The sequence below is a fragment of the Homo sapiens genome, chromosome 2, assembly GCF_000001405.40.
Source record: "Homo sapiens chromosome 2, GRCh38.p14 Primary Assembly".
In the NCBI taxonomy this organism is placed as follows: Eukaryota; Metazoa; Chordata; class Mammalia; order Primates; family Hominidae; genus Homo; species Homo sapiens.
Genome location: NC_000002.12, coordinates 201100462 through 201117772, shown reverse-complemented (window position 1 = coordinate 201117772; position 17311 = coordinate 201100462). Strand labels below are relative to the sequence as shown.

At 45.1% G+C, this 17311-nt stretch overlaps 1 protein-coding gene, 1 long non-coding RNA gene and 1 pseudogene across 25 annotated transcripts in view, besides 2 other annotated features; 2 read left to right on the top strand and 1 right to left on the bottom strand.

Moving 5' to 3' along the window:
• Nucleotides 1-1609, bottom strand: part of CFLAR (CASP8 and FADD like apoptosis regulator) — a 60524-nt gene extending 58915 nt beyond the window's left edge. For all 23 annotated transcript variants that reach the window (XR_001739013.3, XR_007083713.1, NR_147251.2 and 20 more), the window contains exon 1: nucleotides 1292-1609. The gene's annotated coding sequence lies outside the window, so the exon portion shown is untranslated. The remainder of the gene's footprint in view (nucleotides 1-1291) is intronic.
• Nucleotides 1089-12269, top strand: LOC105373836 (uncharacterized). Of its 2 annotated transcripts, XR_923785.3 has the most exons (3): nucleotides 1089-2829; nucleotides 9634-9729; nucleotides 11970-12269. It is a non-coding gene; the product is annotated as an uncharacterized LOC105373836 (long non-coding RNA). The 2 variants fall into 2 exon arrangements; XR_007088051.1 differs by lacking the exon at nucleotides 11970-12269 and having other exon boundaries at nucleotides 9634-10685.
• Nucleotides 1124-1333: a silencer, noted in NCBI's record as "silent region_12229". NCBI's record gives its function as "represses an Ori minimal core promoter by ATAC-STARR-seq in GM12878 lymphoblastoid cells {active_cell/tissue: GM12878}" and the evidence as "EXISTENCE:reporter gene assay evidence [ECO:0000049][PMID:35858748]".
• Nucleotides 1364-1623: an enhancer, noted in NCBI's record as "active region_16974". NCBI's record gives its function as "activates an Ori minimal core promoter by ATAC-STARR-seq in GM12878 lymphoblastoid cells {active_cell/tissue: GM12878}" and the evidence as "EXISTENCE:reporter gene assay evidence [ECO:0000049][PMID:35858748]".
• Nucleotides 14795-15280, top strand: RPL17P10 (ribosomal protein L17 pseudogene 10; annotated as a pseudogene).

Here is a 17311-nt window from a genome sequence, read left to right as displayed (position 1 = left end):
AAAAAAAAAAAAAAAAAAAAAAGATCTTGGAGCTCCAGCCAGGTTTTTTGTTCAACGAAACTTTTGTAAGGTTATTTAGGGGAATCACCAAACCGAAAAGTGCCAAAAACTCCGTTCCTCTTATCGGAAATCTCTCTCTAAAGCAGGTCAAACCTTCCAGAGCCCGCTGTCTGTTGTAGATTATCGCAGTTTGTTGATGTCCAAAAAGCTTTACTTATGCTATACGCTATCCCCCTACTGGTTTCACCCCTCATTGCTTAAGAACAAATTTCAAATGTCAACCAATTAAAATATTCGCAAGACCTCTGGCGTCCTTGAATTTACTTCCTGCCCGTGGAGCCAAAAACTGATTCTGAATTTCAGTGGCCTTTGTTCTACTGCGTGCCACTGTTAATATTAAAAGAACATGGCCTTCTGTCCAAATCCAGACACCCTCAAGCAAGAACATCTTGAAGCCAGTTTACATTTCCCAGTCGTTTTGAGGCGGTGGAAAAGTGGCAGAAACAGGTTCATTTTAAAAGGCTCTAAAAACTTTTCATTAGCCAAGCATTCCCAGCTTTCCCAAGGCAAGCTTTCCTTGCACTTGGGCAAAATAGACATTAAACTGCTCTGGAAAATAACCGCCCTGACCAGGCTATTGTGAAATTCCCTCCAGGGCGGCGGCTCCCACTGAGTGAGATCGAGCGCATACACAATTGTTGGGAAAGTCCACGTTCCCAACAACTTTCGAAAGGAAAAATGCCAGATCTTCTCAACAGTTCACCCCAAGAATTGAACTCTCAAGATCATTTTAAGCAAAGTTTACACGACGCTGAGGGCCCGCCACTGAAGCTCGCGGGTGGGCCTCTGGGGCTGCGGCTGCAGGGGGCGGCCAGAGTTGGCCAAGGGTTACTTCCGGTCTCTCAGGTCCATCGGGGTGCAGCTTGTACCGCTGTGGCCCAGGTCGCCCCTTTCTGGGAATCCGGGGCGGAGTTGCGGGTAGAAGGGGTTCGGGGGTTCGGAGCCGGGCGGAAACGGAAGCGGGGGCATTCCGCAAAGCCCGCGGTAAACAACCGAGATAAGGAACCTACAAAACTGAGTCAGGTTCCAGAAGCGCCCCCGCCATCCCCTGGCCACTGCCGGCCACCTGCAGTTTCCCGGAGCGCAGGGCTGTGAGGAGCGGCGCGGGGTGGGACGCGGGGCGCGGCGGCGCAGGGCCTGCTGCAATGCTGACTCAGGGCCGGGCGTCGGGGCTTGGGGTCTGGGACAGCTCCGGCGCCGCCAGCGCGGGGGTCGAGCGCGGGGCACGTACCGTCCTGTCGCGGCCGGACTCTCCTGCCGCTGCCACCTCAGCCTTCGCTCCCCTAGACGCCGGGAAGGCGCACCCAAGATGGAGGCAAAGAAACCGAAAGCCTGGAAGCGGACTTGGTGCTGGGCGATCGCTGTTCGCGGCGCTTCTCTCCTACACCTCCTCCCGTGGTCCTTGTTGTCTCAGCTGTCACTGGACAAAAGTCCAATAGCCGGCACTCACTGTGTGAGGCCGAGTCCCCACCCCTAGCTCCGGGAGTCCCTTTTAGTTGAGACTCGTCGGTGAGGCTGCAAGCTCGCTGTTTCCTGCTATGGCTTGTGTGACTGAGTATGCAGTAACCGGGGGTGGATGTCGACACAAGTTCCACGCGTTAGGAGTAAACACTGCGAGTGTTTTTTTTTTTCTTTCTTTCTTTCCTTCTTTTTTGAGACAGAGTCTCGCTCTGTGGCCCAGGCTGGAGTGCAGTGGCGCAATTTCAGCTCACTGCAACCTCCGCCTTCCTAGTTCAAGCGATTCTCTTGCCTCAGCCTCCCGAGTAGCTGGGACTACAGGCACGCGCCAGCACGCCCGCCTAATTTTTGTGTTTAGTAGAGACGGGGTTTCACTGTTGGCCAGAATGGTCTCGAACTCTTGACCTCGTGATCCGCCCGCCTCGGCCTCCCAAAGTGCTGGGATTACAGGCGTGAGCCACCACGCCCGGCGCGAGTGTTTACAATTGTTGTCTGGGAGTCATAGCAAACGTGAACACACTTTGTGGTTTTTTGTGTGTATGTTTTTGTTTGTTTTTTTTTGTTTTCCTTCTTGAGACAGGGTCTCGCGCTGTCGCCCAGGCTAGAAGGCAGTGGCGCCATCACAGCTCACTGCAGCCTGGATTTCCCGCTCTCAAACCATCCAGCCCTCAGCCTCCCAAGTAGCGGGGACCACAGGTGCAAGCCACCATGCCCGACTAATTTTTTTTTTTTTTTGTATTTTTAGTAGAGATGGGGTTTCACCATGTTGGCAAGGCTGGTCTCCAACTGCTGGCCTCAAGTGATCCTTGCCCGCCTCGGCCTCCCAAAGTGCTGGGATCACAGGCGTGAGCCACCGCGCCCCTCTACGTTTTTATTTATTCCTAATAACTACTTTATTGTGATTCTTAAAGAGCTTTAACTTTTCTTGAGATAATTTTAAACTCACAGGAAAGGTGAAGAATAATACCAAGAGAGACTAACAGCAGGACGGCATGAAGAGCTCGGGATTCACCCCTAGTGAAACTGAAAATTATTTAAAACAACAAACAACCATTAACCATTTAAAGCCTTTGAAATGGTCCTAAGGGCAAACAGCAAATGAAGAAACATCTGTTCCAAAAAATCTATGAAAACTCTTGGATCAGAATGTGAGAGTCAGTCTGTGGTATTTAAACCAAACCTCTCCCTTTGTTCAGCAAGAGACTCCACTCCAGACTGCTGCAACTCAGAACCTCTCTCTTCCCACAGCTCCCAGTCAGAGACCAGCATATCAGCATTTCTCATCTTGCCCCTAGCTACCTGATGCTGAAGGTAAATCCTGGGGGAGTGTGGTGGAGAGGTGGGAGATTCCTTCTTCCATCCAGAGGCTCTACCTTGGGTGGAGTGCTGAGACACCAGAGGAGACTTCAGCTCTTTTTCTCCATCACTTTCACCCCATATTCACCCCCAACCTTTTTTTTTAATCTCTCCATCTTCCCAAGATAGTTATATTCTGTTTGATTAATCTTCAGTATATATGCTATTATAATCATGTAAACGGTAGTCACAGCCAAGTTATGTACCAAACTATGATTACTTTTCCTTTCCCACACAACTTTTAGTTTTTTCTGGAGTTAATAATTGTCTTGTTTTGTTGGTTTTTCCATGTAATTCTATCCTAAACTCTGTCAGTTATCCAAGTTTGGTTTTTTGTTTGTTTTTGAGACAGGGTCTCACTCCAGGCTGGAGTGCAGTGACCCGATCACAGCTCACTGCAGCCTTAACCTCCCAGGTTCAAGTGATCCTTCTGCCTCAGCCTCCTGAGTAGCTAGGACTACAGGTCCTAGCATGCCACCATGCTAGGTGTGCCACTACAGGTGCCACCATGCCCAGCTAATTCTTTAAAAAAAAATTTGTGGCCCGGCGCAATGGCTTATGCCTGTAATCCCAGCACTTTGGGAGGCTGAGGCGGGTGGATCACGAGGTCAGGAGTTCAAGACCAGCCTGGCCCAGATAGTGAAACCCCATCTCTACTAAAAATACAAAAAATTAACTGGGTGTGATGGCGGGCGCCTGTAATCCCAGCTACTCAGGAGGCTAAGGCAGAGAATTGCTTGAACCCGGGAGGCGGAGGTTGCAGTGAGCCTAGATTATGCCAGTGCACTCTAGCCTGGGAGACAGAGTAAGACTCCATCTCAAAAAAAAAAAAAAAAAAAAAAAAAAAAAAAATATATATATATATATATATATATATATATATATCTAGTAGAAGCGGGGGTCGTGGGTGGCAGGGAGTCTTGCTATGTTGCCCAGGCTGGTTTTGAACTTGCCTCAAGTGATCTTCCTGCCTAGGTCTTCCAAAGCACTGGGATTACAGGCATGACCACTGCTGCTCTTGGCCTTTCTTATCTTTTTAGTACACCAAGAAAATTTTATTACAGATCAGCACCTGTCCTTAATTTGGAAACTACTATTCAAGAACACCTAGCTTAGCACCTCCATCACCACCTCCAACCCACCCTATCCCAAGTGAAAGCCATTTCTGGTTGTCAGTAGAACCATCATAGTGGACTTACCCCAGGCCCACCTTGCATGCCCACTGATTCTTACCACTTCAACACACACCAGTATGACTTCTAACCCAGCATATCCATATGTCGTTCCCTGAGGGCTTTTTCTGGCTCACATTGGAAGCCCATGTTGTCATCCCATTTGGCAAACCAGTAGGGGCAGGCATTTAACCCCCTACCCCTGTGCCATCCTTATCCTTTGGCTTCAGCAGCCCTCAAAGAATGACTGTATACACCTATGTTGACACTCCCACCTGCAGTCCACTTTCCATTTACATCCTCTTAAAATCAGCCACCCCTTGGGCTTAGGGATGTGCATACTTGCAGCATAGTTTGTCCCTGGGGTATGGACTTGGGGAAGAGGCCAATGTAGGCCCTGGTGGGAGGCTCAGGGCTCTTTGCGTAGAGAACTTCAGGTCTTAGGTACCCAAAGAGGGTTTATTCTTTTTGTTTTTTTGAGACGTAGTCTCACTCTGTCACCCAGGCTGGAGTGTAGTGGCACAATCCTGGCTCACTGCAACCTCTGCCTCCCAGGCCCAAGCAATTCCCTTGCCTCGGCCTCTCAAATAGCTGGGATTATATGCGCGCACCACCATATCCGGCTGATTTTTGTATTTTTAGTGGAGACAGGGTTTCACTACGTTGGCCAGGCTGGTCTTGAACTCCTGGCCTCAAGTGATCTGCCCACCTTGGCCTCCCAAAGTGCTGGAATTACAGGCGAGAGCCACCACACCCAGCCCCAAAGAGGGTTTTAAACAGAGGGTCTCGGTGTGGGCATGTCCTCTTGACCTTGCAGACTCCTCCCACCTCTGATGATTCTCCTCACCTGAGGGAAGGGCACAGCCCAAGAAGAGCCGGAGCAAGGCCCTTCTAAATCAGGGCCCACAACAGGACCCCCAGTGCCTGGGTCCAAGGGCAGTATTGCTTAAGCCTCTCTGACTTTCTGTTTCCACACTTAACAAAGTAGCAACAAATGTTCACGTTTTCATCAAATTCACTGGTTGTAAACCTTGGCTGCACATTAGACTGTCCCCAAGGAGCTGCAAAAACCTCAGTGGCCAGGTACCATTCCAGACTAATTGTATCAAAATCTCTGAGAGTGAGACCCAGGGATTGGTAGTTTTTAAAGCTCCCCGTGTGATTTCAATGTACAGTTAAGATTCAGAACAACTGATCTAATCCAAACATTTTCTCACTCCGTCAACCACAACCCAATTTTCAGATGAAGAATCTGAGGCTTAAAGTGAGTTAATAAATTGAGACATCTCACAACTAGCTAGTGACAGGACTAGGACAGGATGCCAAGAATTTATCTAATGCTTTTCCTTATATCACAGTGGGTGACTTGGGAATGGAGAATTAATAGCCACAGCAATGACTTTATATCTACTCTCTTAGCCACACATCCTGCCTCAACTCCTCTGACATTCTGGGAGAATATATTCTTGGCTGGGTATGGTAGCTCATGCCTATAAACCCAGCACTTTGGGAAGCCAAGGCAGAAGGAACACTTGAACCCAGGTGTTCAAGATCAGCCTGGGCAATACAGGGAGAGCCTGTCTCTACAAAAAATTAAAAAATTAGCCAGGTGTAGTGATGCATACATGTGGTCCCAGCTACTCAAGAGGCTGAAGTGGGAGGATCACTTGAGCCAGGCAGGTTGAGGTTGCAGTAAACCATGAGCACAGCACTGTACTCCAGCTTGGATGACAGAGTGAAACCCCGTCTCAAAAAATATATATAAATAAATTTAGTTTAAAAAGAATACATTCTTTTTTTTTTTGAGATGGAGTCTCGCTCTGTCGCCAGGCTGGAGTGCAGTGGCATGATCTCAGCTCACTGCAACCTCCGCCTCCCGGGTTCAAGCGATTCTCCTGCCTCAGCCTCCCGAGTAGCTGGGACTGCAGGTGCGCGCCAGCATGCCCAGCTAATTTTTTTTTTTTTTTTTTTTTTTGAGACAGAGTCTCACTCTGTCACCCAGGCTGGAGTGCAGTGGCACGATCTCGGCTCACTGCAATCTCCGCCTCCTGGGTTCAAGTGATTCTCCTGCCTCAGCCTCCCAAGTAGCTGGAATTACAGGCGCCCACCACTACGCCCAGCTAATTTTTTGTATTTTTAGTAGAGACAGGCTTTCACCATGTTGGCCAGGCTTGTCTCGAACTCCTAACCTCATGATTCACCCGCCTCGGCCTCCCAAAGTGCTGGGATTACAGGCATGAGCCACCGCGCCCAGCCATAATTTTTGTATTTTTAGTAGAGACAGGGTTTCACCATGTTGGCCAGGATGGTCTCGATAAAAAAAAAATACATTCTTGAGAAGAATAAATAAACACAATTCTAATATGCTGGTGCTATGGTTTGGATATTTGTCCCCTCTAAACCTCATGTTGAAATTTGATCCCCATGTTGGAGGTGGGCCTCATGGAAGGTATTTGGGTCATGGGGGTAGATACCTCATGAATAGATTAATGCCTTCCCTTAGTGGTGAGGGAGTTTTTCTTCTATTAATTCCCACAAGAGCTGGTTGTTAAACAGAGCCTGGCACTTTCCCCTTTTTCACTGTTTCTTCTTCTCTCACCATGAGAGAAGCCTTTTGCCTTCCACCATGGGTGGAAGCAACCTGAAGCTTTCACCAGAAGTCAAGCAGATGCCAGTGCCATGCTTCTTGTACAGCCTGCAGAACCATGAGTTAAATAAACCTCTTTTCTTTATAAACTACCCAGTCTCAGTTATTCTTTTATAGCAATACAAAACAGACTAAGACAGCTGGGTTTCTATAGAAGTAGTCAACTGTAGATTTGTAGCAACAGCCTTTACAAGCAAAGCAAGGTGCAGAAATTAGTAGTTAACTAAGTCATTTCCAGAAATATATCTGGCACTATTACATAAGGATTAATAGTACTGCCTCTGGAACTAGTTCTGGGTTTGCATTCCAGCTTTGCCTCTCACTAGCAGTGTGAACTTCTGGGTAAGTTTCCTCTTTGTGCCTCAATTTTCTCACCTGTAAAAAGGGAATGACAGTAATAGTCCCAACCTCATAGAATTATTACACAAATTAATATTTGGAATATGCCTGGCATGGCCAGGCAAGGTGGCTCACGCCTGTAATCCCAGCACTTTGGGAGGCTGAGGTGGGAGGAACACTTGAGGCCAAGAGGTCAAGACCAGTCTGGGCAACATAATGAGACCCTGTCTCCACAAAAATAATTTTTAAAAATCAGCTCAGTGGGGGTAGCGCACACTTGTAGTCCCAGCTGCTCAGGAGGCCAAGGTGAGCATATTGCTTGAGCCCAGGAGTTCAAGGCTGCAGTAAGCTTGATTGCACTACTGCACTCCAGCCTAGGTAACAGAGTGAGACCCTGTCTCTGAATAATATGCCTGGCATATAGTAGGTGCTAAATAAATTAAACACTATGTACCAGGCATTGATTTAGCCTCTGGGAATATAGTGGAAGGAAAAAGGAAAGGTCCTACACTTGGAGCTTAGAAGTTATATTGACAACTTCCATTTCACCTTTTCCCAAAAGTTTTCCCCCATGGTTAAGTGCAAGTGAGCAAATAATTGATTTTATTTTATTTTATTTGTATTACTTATTTATTTTTGAGATGGAGTTTTGCTCCTGTTGCCCAGGCTAGAGTGCAATGGTGTGATCTCGGCTCGCTGCAACCTCCGCCTCCTGGGTTCAAGCGATTCTCCTGCCGCAGCCTCCCAGGTAGCTGGGATTACAGGAGCCCGCCACCACATCCAGCTAATTTTTTGTATTTTTAGTAGAGATGGGGTTTCACCATGTTGGTCAGGCTGATCTTGGAACTCCTGACCTCAGGTGATCCACCCACCTCAGCCTCCCAAAGTGCTGGGATTACAGGCGTGAGCCACTGTGCCCGGCCATTTTTTTTTTATTATTTTTCAGAGATGGAGTCTCACAGTGTCACCCCCAAGCTGGAGTGCAGTGGCATGATCATACCTCACTGCAGCCTCAAACTTCTGGCCTCAAGCAATCCTCCTGTCTCAGCCTTCTGAGTACCTGGGACTACAGGGATGTGCCACCGTGTTTGGCTAATACTTTTAATTTTTGTAGAGAAAGGGTCTTGCTTTGTTGCATAATCTAGCAAATAAATTTTAAAAATAATTTCTGTCACACCAGAAGGCTACGCTATAATATCCATTCATTGGCAAACATTTTTGAGCTCCTACTATGTGCCAGGTACTACATAAAAGAAATAGAGGCCAGGCACAGTGGCTCACAACTGTAATCCCAGCACTATGGGAGGCCAAGGCAGACGGATCACTTCAGGTCAGGAATTTGAGATCAGCCTAGCCAACATGGCGAAACCATCTACTAAAAATAGAAAAATTAGCCAAACATGGTGGTGCATGCCTGTATTCCCAGCTACTCTGGAGGCTGCGGCAGAAGAATTGCTTGAACCTGGGAGGTGGAGGTTGCAGTGAGTTAAGATCACACCACTGTACTCCAGCCTGGGAGACAGGCTCAAAAAAAAAAAGAAAAAGAAAAAAAAGAAATAGAGTCTTTGTCCTCAAGGAATTCCTAAGAGGGATATTCAGCTGTAAAACTCTTATTGAATAATGCAATACTATGCGTGCATTTCCATGTATTTATACATATAATTTTATTGATAATATATATAAGGTAACGCCTTGTTTATCAGGAAATAACTTTTACCCAACAACCTAGCCAAGAATTAGGGATTATTAAGGAAAAGAGGCGCCTGTAATCACAGCACTTTGGGAGGCTGAGACAGGCAGATCACCTAAGGTTGGGAGTTCGAGACCAGCCTGGCCAGCATGGTGAACCCCTTTCTCTACTAAAAATATAAAAAATTAGCCAGGCATGGTGGCATGTGCCTTTAATCCCTGCTACTCGGGAGGCTGAGGCAGGAAAATCGCTTGAACCCAGGAGGCAGAGATTTCAGTGAGCCAAGATCGCGCCATTGCAATCTAGCCTGGGCAACAAGAGCAAGACTCCATCTCAAAAAAAAAAAAAAAAGGCATTTGAGTGTACAAAAAAGGTGTCACTAAACTAACTCAGTTTGTTTGTAAGATCCTTGGGGTCTAGTTATTTTCATCACAAATGTTAACAAGTTCATTTGGCTGGTTTCCTACGTTATAATGAGCTGAGAATTAGGAGCTTCCAGAGCTGGATCAGGAATAAGAAGTGGCAGCTGGTGATGAATGAAGCAAAATAATATGTGATGAAAGTGACAGAAAAATCATTTTCTGTCATGGCATCTCTCTGCCATGGACCAGTGCAGTAACAGATGCTTTCGGTCAGAGCTTGAGTCAGAAAAAGGTTAAAGAATGTTCTGTTCATGCTGTTTTAAGAGGGAGAAAAATATTTAATGCATTTTAGAAGGCTTTTTGTGAAAGATGATGCAAATGTTTTAAAAGGTTTAATTCTTATAGAGTTGAGTAATCTGGAAGATTCACTTAAATGATACCAAATAACTGGGAAAATATTGCCTTTGATTATTATTTATGCATAATAATGATAAATTCTGCAATAAGAACAATGTAAAATATAATGTATAATAAAAATGTTGCTTATAGGTTAAAGATGAGAACAAAAGGAAGATTTCAAGCTGGAATTGCAGAAGGAGGATTTGAGATTAATGCTGGGTCTGAAAATTGAGCAAAGGTGTAATGGTAAGATTGAGTGAGAGGAGATGGTGGTCTAAATGAAGGAATTATTGTTGAAAATGTTAAAAATGCAGCAGAATAGCCTGGGCAAAATGGTGAGACTTTGTCTCTACAAAAATTACAAAAATTAGCCAGATGTGGTGGCTTGAGCGTGTGGTTCCAGCTACTTGGGAGGCTGAGGTGGGAGGATCACCTGAGCCCGCCTGGGAGGTTGGGGCTGTGGTGAGCCATGATTGCACCACTGCACTCCTGCCTGGGCAACACAATGAGACCCTGTCTCAGAAAAAAAAAAAAAGTGCAGCAGAGTAAATTCCTGTTTGATCAACTTCTTACAATGAATGTTTACAGCCCTTGCTGGGTTAGAAAATCAGCTTGAAAACATACTTTGTATATTTATTTTGAGTCTATGTGTACTTAGTCTAATTCATGCATTTATCCAGTAGACATTCACTGAATACCTACTAAGTGTCTGGCATCATTCTAGGTGCTGAGGGTGTCTCTAAGAACAAAACTAGCTGTGCCCTCAAAGAGATCCTAGAATGTAGACTACTAAGAATTAACAGAGAAAACACTAAAACTTGTATGCTTATTAATCACTGTGTAAGTAATAAATGGAGGTCTCATTTAGATAAAACAAAAGCCTTGCGATCTCCATTAGTCAGAGTAATATAGATTTGCTGGGCATAGTGGCATGAGCCTGTCGTCCCAGCTACTCAAGAGGCTGAGCTGGGAAGATGGCCTGAGCTTGGAAGGTCGAGGCTACAGTGAGCTGTGATTGCACCACTACACTCCAGCCTGAAAGACAGAGTGAGTCCCTGTCTCAGAAAAAAAAAAAAAAAGTAATATAGATTTGATACAGTAGACAGTGTGGCGTAGCAGAAAGAACATGGGCTGTGAAGTCAGAGATCTGAGTTCAAATTTTGACTCTGAGACTTAATAAATATCTGTGTGACTGTAGCCAAGTTAATGAATCTCTCTGAACCTAATTTTTCTTATAATAGAGATAGTGAATACCTTCTTGTTTAAGGAATAAATGAGATAATAGAGATAATACCTTCTTGTATAAGGAATAAATGGAATAATATGTGTAGTGATGGTAGATCAAGGCTATGAAGAACTGGGCATGCTTTGCTTTGGTGAGAGCATTGGTTTAGCTTTGGGGAGGGCCCATAACTGTTGGGGGCATAAAAGGAAGAAGAGGGTTTTGTTTTTGTTTTTGAGATGGAGTTTCACTCTTGTTGCCCAGGCTGGAGTGCAGTGGCACAGACTCAGGTCACTGCAACCTCCACCTCCCGGGTTCAAGTGTTTCTTCTGCCTCAGACGCCCAAGTAGCTGGGATTACAGGCACCTGCCACCACGCTGGCTAATTTTTTGTATTTTTAGTAGAGATGGAGTTTCACCATGTTGGCCTGGCTGGTCTCGAACTCCTGACCTCAGGTGATCCACCCGCCTCGGCCTCCCAAAGTGCTGGGATTACAGGCATGAGCCACCACGCCTGGCAGAGAAGAGTTATTTTGGAGATAAGAGGATAAATGTCAGTTACAGGGAAATGGAAATTTTGGTATAGCCTGTACATTAGACACTATTGTGTATGTTAAATTTCATGGGTATTGTCTTAATTCATTTGGGCTGATATGATAAAATACCATAGACTAGGTAGCTTATAAACAACAGAAATTTATTTCTAACACTTCTGGAGCTGGGAAATCCAAGATCACTGGCAGATTCAGAGTCTGGTGAGGGCCTGCCTTCTGGCTTATAGATGTGGTCATCTTCTCACTGTGCCCTCATATGGTAGAAGGGGCAAGGGAGCTCTCTATGATCTCTTTTATAAGGGCACTAATCCCATTCATGAGGGTTCCACCCTCATGACCTTTTCATCTCCCAAAGGCCTCACCTCCAAATGCCATCACACTGGGGATTAGGTTTCAACATATGAGTTTCAGGGGGAAACATTCAGTCTATTGCAGGTATGATAGTGATATTGTGATCATGTAGGAGAATGTCTTTGTTCATAGAAAACACACACTGAAGAATCTAGGGGTAAAGTATCATGATGTCTGCACATTACTGTCAATGATTCAGCAAAGTGTGTGTGTATGTGTGTGTCTAGAGAGAGAGATAAAGTAAATGTGGCTAAATGTTAACAATTGGTGTCTGTAGGTAAAGGGTATATGTGTATTCTTTAAATTTTCTGGTTTTCAGGTTTTGTTTTGTTTGAGACAAAGTCTCTCTCTGTCACCCAGGTTGCAATGCATTGGCACGATCTCAGCTGACTGCAACCTCCATCTCCCGGGTTCAAGCAATTCTCATGCCTCAGCCTTCCGAGTAGCTGGGACTACAGGTGTGTGCTACCATGCCCAGCTAATTTTTGTATTTTTAGTAAAGACAAGATTTTGCCATGTTGGCCAGGCTGGTCTCGAACTCCTGGCCTCATGTGATCTACTCACCTAGGCTTCCCAAAGTTCTGGGATTATAGGCGTGAGCCACCACACCCGGCCTGGTTTTCAGGTTTGAAAATAAAAAGTTGGAAAAATATCTACACATGATTCTGTATTCCCCCAATTGTATTTGGGATACAATGTAAGACTTTTCATGCACATAATTTTCCTTAAAAATCTTATCTTGAGGTTTTTTTGGGGGGGCAGAAATATGAACAATTTCTGTGCAAATATTAGTCAAAAACACCATATCCAGAGAAAAATACATTCCCTGATGTTTGATAAAAACAAAGATACATTCCACTTGGAAGACATTTATCAGGGAGGTGCTTTGCACCTCCTGTGTGACTGCATATGAATTTTTTTTACTTTTTATTTTTATCCCCTTGATTAATCTATTTTGTTTGTTTGTTTGTTTTTTGAGACAGGGGCTCCCACTGTTGCTCAGGCTAGAGTGTAGTAGCATGATCATGGCTCACTGCCACCTAGACCTCCCAGGCTCAAGGAATCCTCAGTAGCTGGGGCTACATGCACATGCCACCATTCCCAGCTAATTTTTTATTATTTGTAGAGACAGGGTCTCACTATGTTGCCCAGGCTGGTCTTGAACTCCTGGGCTCAAGCAGTCCTCCTGCCTTAGCCTCCCAAAGTGCTGGGATTACAGGTGTGAGCCACTGCACCCTGCCTGCTTTATTCTTTGCAAATGGTAAGGCCATGTAAATCTAAGAATGTGGAAAAGCCTAAATGCAGTATACACAACCATCTGTGGTTCTGTTGAATTTACATGTTCTGCTCTGGCAAGCTGGAGTAACAGGGACTGGTGTATCCTCCTGCCTGAAACAACTGAAAAACCATGTAGACAAAATGTCTACCTGCATTCTAGCCTGGGCAAGTAGCAAGACTCCATATCTTAAAAAAAAATACAAAAGAGCAAAGAACCAGGAAAAGATCACTCATATGAGGACAATAACAATCAATCAATCAATAGAATTACACCCAGAAATGCCATAGGTAATAGAATTAGTATATTTGCCTTGGCTTTTGAGGTGAGGTAAAACAAACAAGCAAAATAATTAGTAGATAGGGATACTAAAACAGATTCTATAGCCATATTTCAATAAGATAGAGGAAAGACTGAGCATGTTAAGTTGAGACATGGAAGATATAAAGACTCGTATTAAAACTATAGATGGGGCCAGATGCAGTGGCTCACACCTGTAATCCCAGCACTTTGAGAGGCCAAGGTGGGAGCATCGCTTGAGGCCAGGAGTTTGAGATCAACCCAGGCAATAAACAGATATCTCATCTTTACAAAATAAAAAAATTAACTGGGCACGGTGGCACACACTCTCAGCTATTCAAGAGGTTGAAACAGAAGGACTCCTTGAGGCCAAGAATTCAAGGCTACAGTAAGCTATGATTGTGCCGTTGCACCACTCCAGCCTGGGTGACAGAGCGAGACACTGTCTCTAAAAAAGAAAAAAAGCTCTAGATGGGCCAGATGTGGTGGCTCATGCCCATAACCCCAGCACTTTGGGAGGCTAAGACAGGAATCACTTGAGGCCAGGAGTTCAAGACCAGCCTGGGCAACATAGCAAGACATTCATCTCTACAAAACAAACAACCACCAAAAAACACACACAAAAAAACTTCTAGATGCAAACTACAATGTCTGAGGTGAAGAATACATTGCATGAGGTTAAAAGCAGATTAGATACTGAAGAAAAGATTAGTGAACATGAAGACACACAATATAAATTATCTAAAATGAAATACAGAGGCCTTGCATGGTGGCTCATGCCTGTAACCCCAGCACTTTGAGAAGCTGAGGTGGGCAGATCACTTGAGGTCAGGAGTTTGAGACCAGCCTGGCCAACATGGCAAAACCCCATCTCTACTAAAAATACAAAAATTAGCCTAGCGTGGTGGTGGGCGCCTGTAAACCCAGCTACTCGGGAGGCTGGCAGGAGAATCACTTGAACCTGAGAGGTGGAGGTTGCAGTGAGCCAAGATTGTGACATTGCACTCCAGCCTGAGTGCGACAGAGCGAGATTCCATCTCAAAAGATAATAATAATAGAAAAATGAAAAACAGAAAAATTACTGAAAGAGAAAAATAAAGAGTATCAGGGAAACCATAACACAGTATCAGGGAGGCTAATATATGTGTAATTAAATTCCCTGAAGGAGAGGATGGGAGATAGAAAAAATACTTGAAGAGGTCGGGCGCTGTGGCTCATTCATGCCTGTAATCCCAGCACTTTGGGAGAGGCCAAGGCGGGTGGATCACCTAAGGTCAGGAGTTTGAGACCAGCCTGACCAACATGGCAAAACACTGTCTACTAAAAAAATAACAAAAATTAGCCGAATGTGGTGGCGGGTGCCTGTATTCCCAGCTACTCGGGAGGCTAAGGCAGGAGAATCGCTTGAACCCGGGAGGGAGAGGTTGCAGTGAGCCCAGACTGCGCCACTACAATCCAGCCTGGGCAACACAGCAAGACTCTGTCTCAAAAAAAAAAAAAGAAAAAGAAAAAGAAAAAATATTTAAAGAAATAATGGCTGAAAAATTCCAAATTAGATAAAAACAAACCCTTTGATCAAAGAAGCTTAATGAGCTCGCTTCCTCTAAGCAGCCTGAGGTGATCTGTGAAAATGGTTCACTATTCATTTGTCCTAGAAAACTTCACAAAATCATGCAAATCAAAAGGTTCAAATCTTTGTTTTCTTTAAGAATACGGGTGAAATTATCTGGGCCATCAAGGGTAGGCATACACGAGAAGCCACCAAGTATTCTGAAAGATGTCACTTTATAAAAGTACTGTGTAGAAACCACGCTACAATGGTGGAGTTGGTAGGTGTGCCCAGGCCAGACAGTGGGGCTAGATACAGGGTTGCTGGCCCAAAAAGAGTACTGAATTTTTGCTGCACATGCTTAAAAATGCAGAGTAATGCTGAATTTAAGGTTTTGGATATAGATTCTCTGATCATTGAGCCTATCCAGGTGAACAAAGCACCCAAGATGCACTGCTGGACTTACAGAGCTCATGGTCAGATTAACCCATACGTGACCTCTGCCTGCCACATCGAGATGATCCTTACTGAAAAGAACAAATTCTTTTTTTTTTTTTTTTTTTTTGAGACAGAGTCTTGCTCTGTCACCCAGGCTGGAGTGCAATGGCGCCATCTCGGCTCATTGCAACCTCTGACTCCCAGGTTCAAGCAATTCTCCTTCCTCAGCCTTCCGAGTAGCTGGGATTACAGGCCAGTGCCACCATGCCCGGCTAATTTTTGTATTTTTAGTAGAGACCAGCTTTCAGCATGTTGCCCAGGCTGGTCTCGAATTCCTGGCCTCAAGTGATCCGCCCGCCTCGGCCTTCCAAAGTGTTGGGATTACAGGCATGAGCCGCCGCACCCGGCCAGAACAAATTATTCTTTAACCAGAAGAGGAAGTTGAATTGAAGAAAAAGATATCTCAAAAGTAACTGAAGAAACAAAAACAAAAACTTGTGGCATGGGAATAAATTCAGAATAAAATAAATGCTAATAAAAGTTTGTGGCCAGGTGTGGTGGCTCATGCCTACAATCCCAGCACTTTGGGAGGCCGAGGCGGGTGGATCATTTGAGGTCAGGAGTTCGCGACCAGCCTGGCCAACTTGGTGAAACTCCGTCTCTACTAAAATACAAAAATTAGCTGGACATGGTGGTGTGCGCCTGTAATCCCAGCTACTCGGGAAGCTGAGGCAGGAGAATCGCTTGAACTCAGGAGGCAGGGGTTGCAGTGAGCCTAGATCATGCCACTGCACTCCAGCCTGGGCGACAGAGCATCCGTCTCAGAAAAAAGAAAAAAAAAAAGTTTGCATTTGGAGACCATTATTCTAAGTGAAGTAACACAGGAATAGAAAACCAAATGTCATTATGTTCTCACTTGCAAGTGGGAGCTAAGCGACCGGGTGCAGTGGCTTATGCCTGTAATCTCAGCACTTTGGGAGGTTAAGGTAGGCGGATCACTTGAGGCCAGGTGTTTGAGACCAGTCTGGCCAACATGGTGAAACCTCATCTCTACTAAAAATACAAAAATTAGCTGGGCTTGTGGTGCTCACCTGTAATCCCAGCTACTCAGGAGGCTGAGGGAGGAGAATCACTTGAACTTGGGAGAGGGGGTTGCAGTGAGCCAAGATCGCACCACCGCACTCCAGCCTGGGTGACAGAGCAAATGAGACTTTGTCTCAAAAAAAAAAAAAAAAAAAGCGGGAGCTAAGCTATGAGGACACAAAGGCATAAGAATGATACAATGGACTTTGGGGACTTGGGGAAAAGAGTGAGAGGGAGGTGAGGGATAAAAGACTACATATTTGGTACAGTGTGCACTGGTCAGGTGATAGGTGCACCAAAATCTCAGAAATCATCACTAAAGAACTTATTCATGGAACCAAACACCACTTGTTCCCCAAAAACTTATTGAAATTATAAAAAAAGAAGTTCGATGAACCCCAGGTACAAGAAACATGAATAAAATTGCACCAACAAACATGATAATCAAATTGCTTAAAATCAGTGCTATTCCTTGGATATGAATGATCTATCAATCTGTCCCATAACTTGCCCTTTGGACAGGAAAGGACTAAGCTAAAGACACAGTATCTCTGGAATTTTGCCAGGATATGAAGTTTAGTGTCTGCTCCATTCCAGACTTTTTATTTTTTTCTTTTTTGAGATGGGGTCTTGTTCTGTTGCCCAGGCTCAAGTGTAGTGGTGCAAACATGGCTCACTGTAGCCTCGATCTCCTAGACTCAAGCAGTCCTCCTACCTCAGCTTCCTAAGTAGCTAGTACTAAAGGCACATGCCATCATACCTGGCTAATTTTTACTTTTTTTGTAGAGACAAGGTCTCCCTATGTTGCCCAGGCTGGTCTTGGACTCCAGGGCTCATGCAGTCCTCCGGCCTCGGCCTCCCAAAGTCCTGAGATCACAGGTGTGAGCCACCATGCCTGGCTAAGACTTTTTAAATGAATCAGACCAGCCCTAACACAAGGGATTCAGTCCTAGACAATAGCAGCTGTAACCAGCTTTCATCCAGATGGCCTGCCAGTTACTGTCCAGAGTTGTTCCATTTCTCTTCTTTGCCTGCCTGGCTTGATGATCCCCTTGA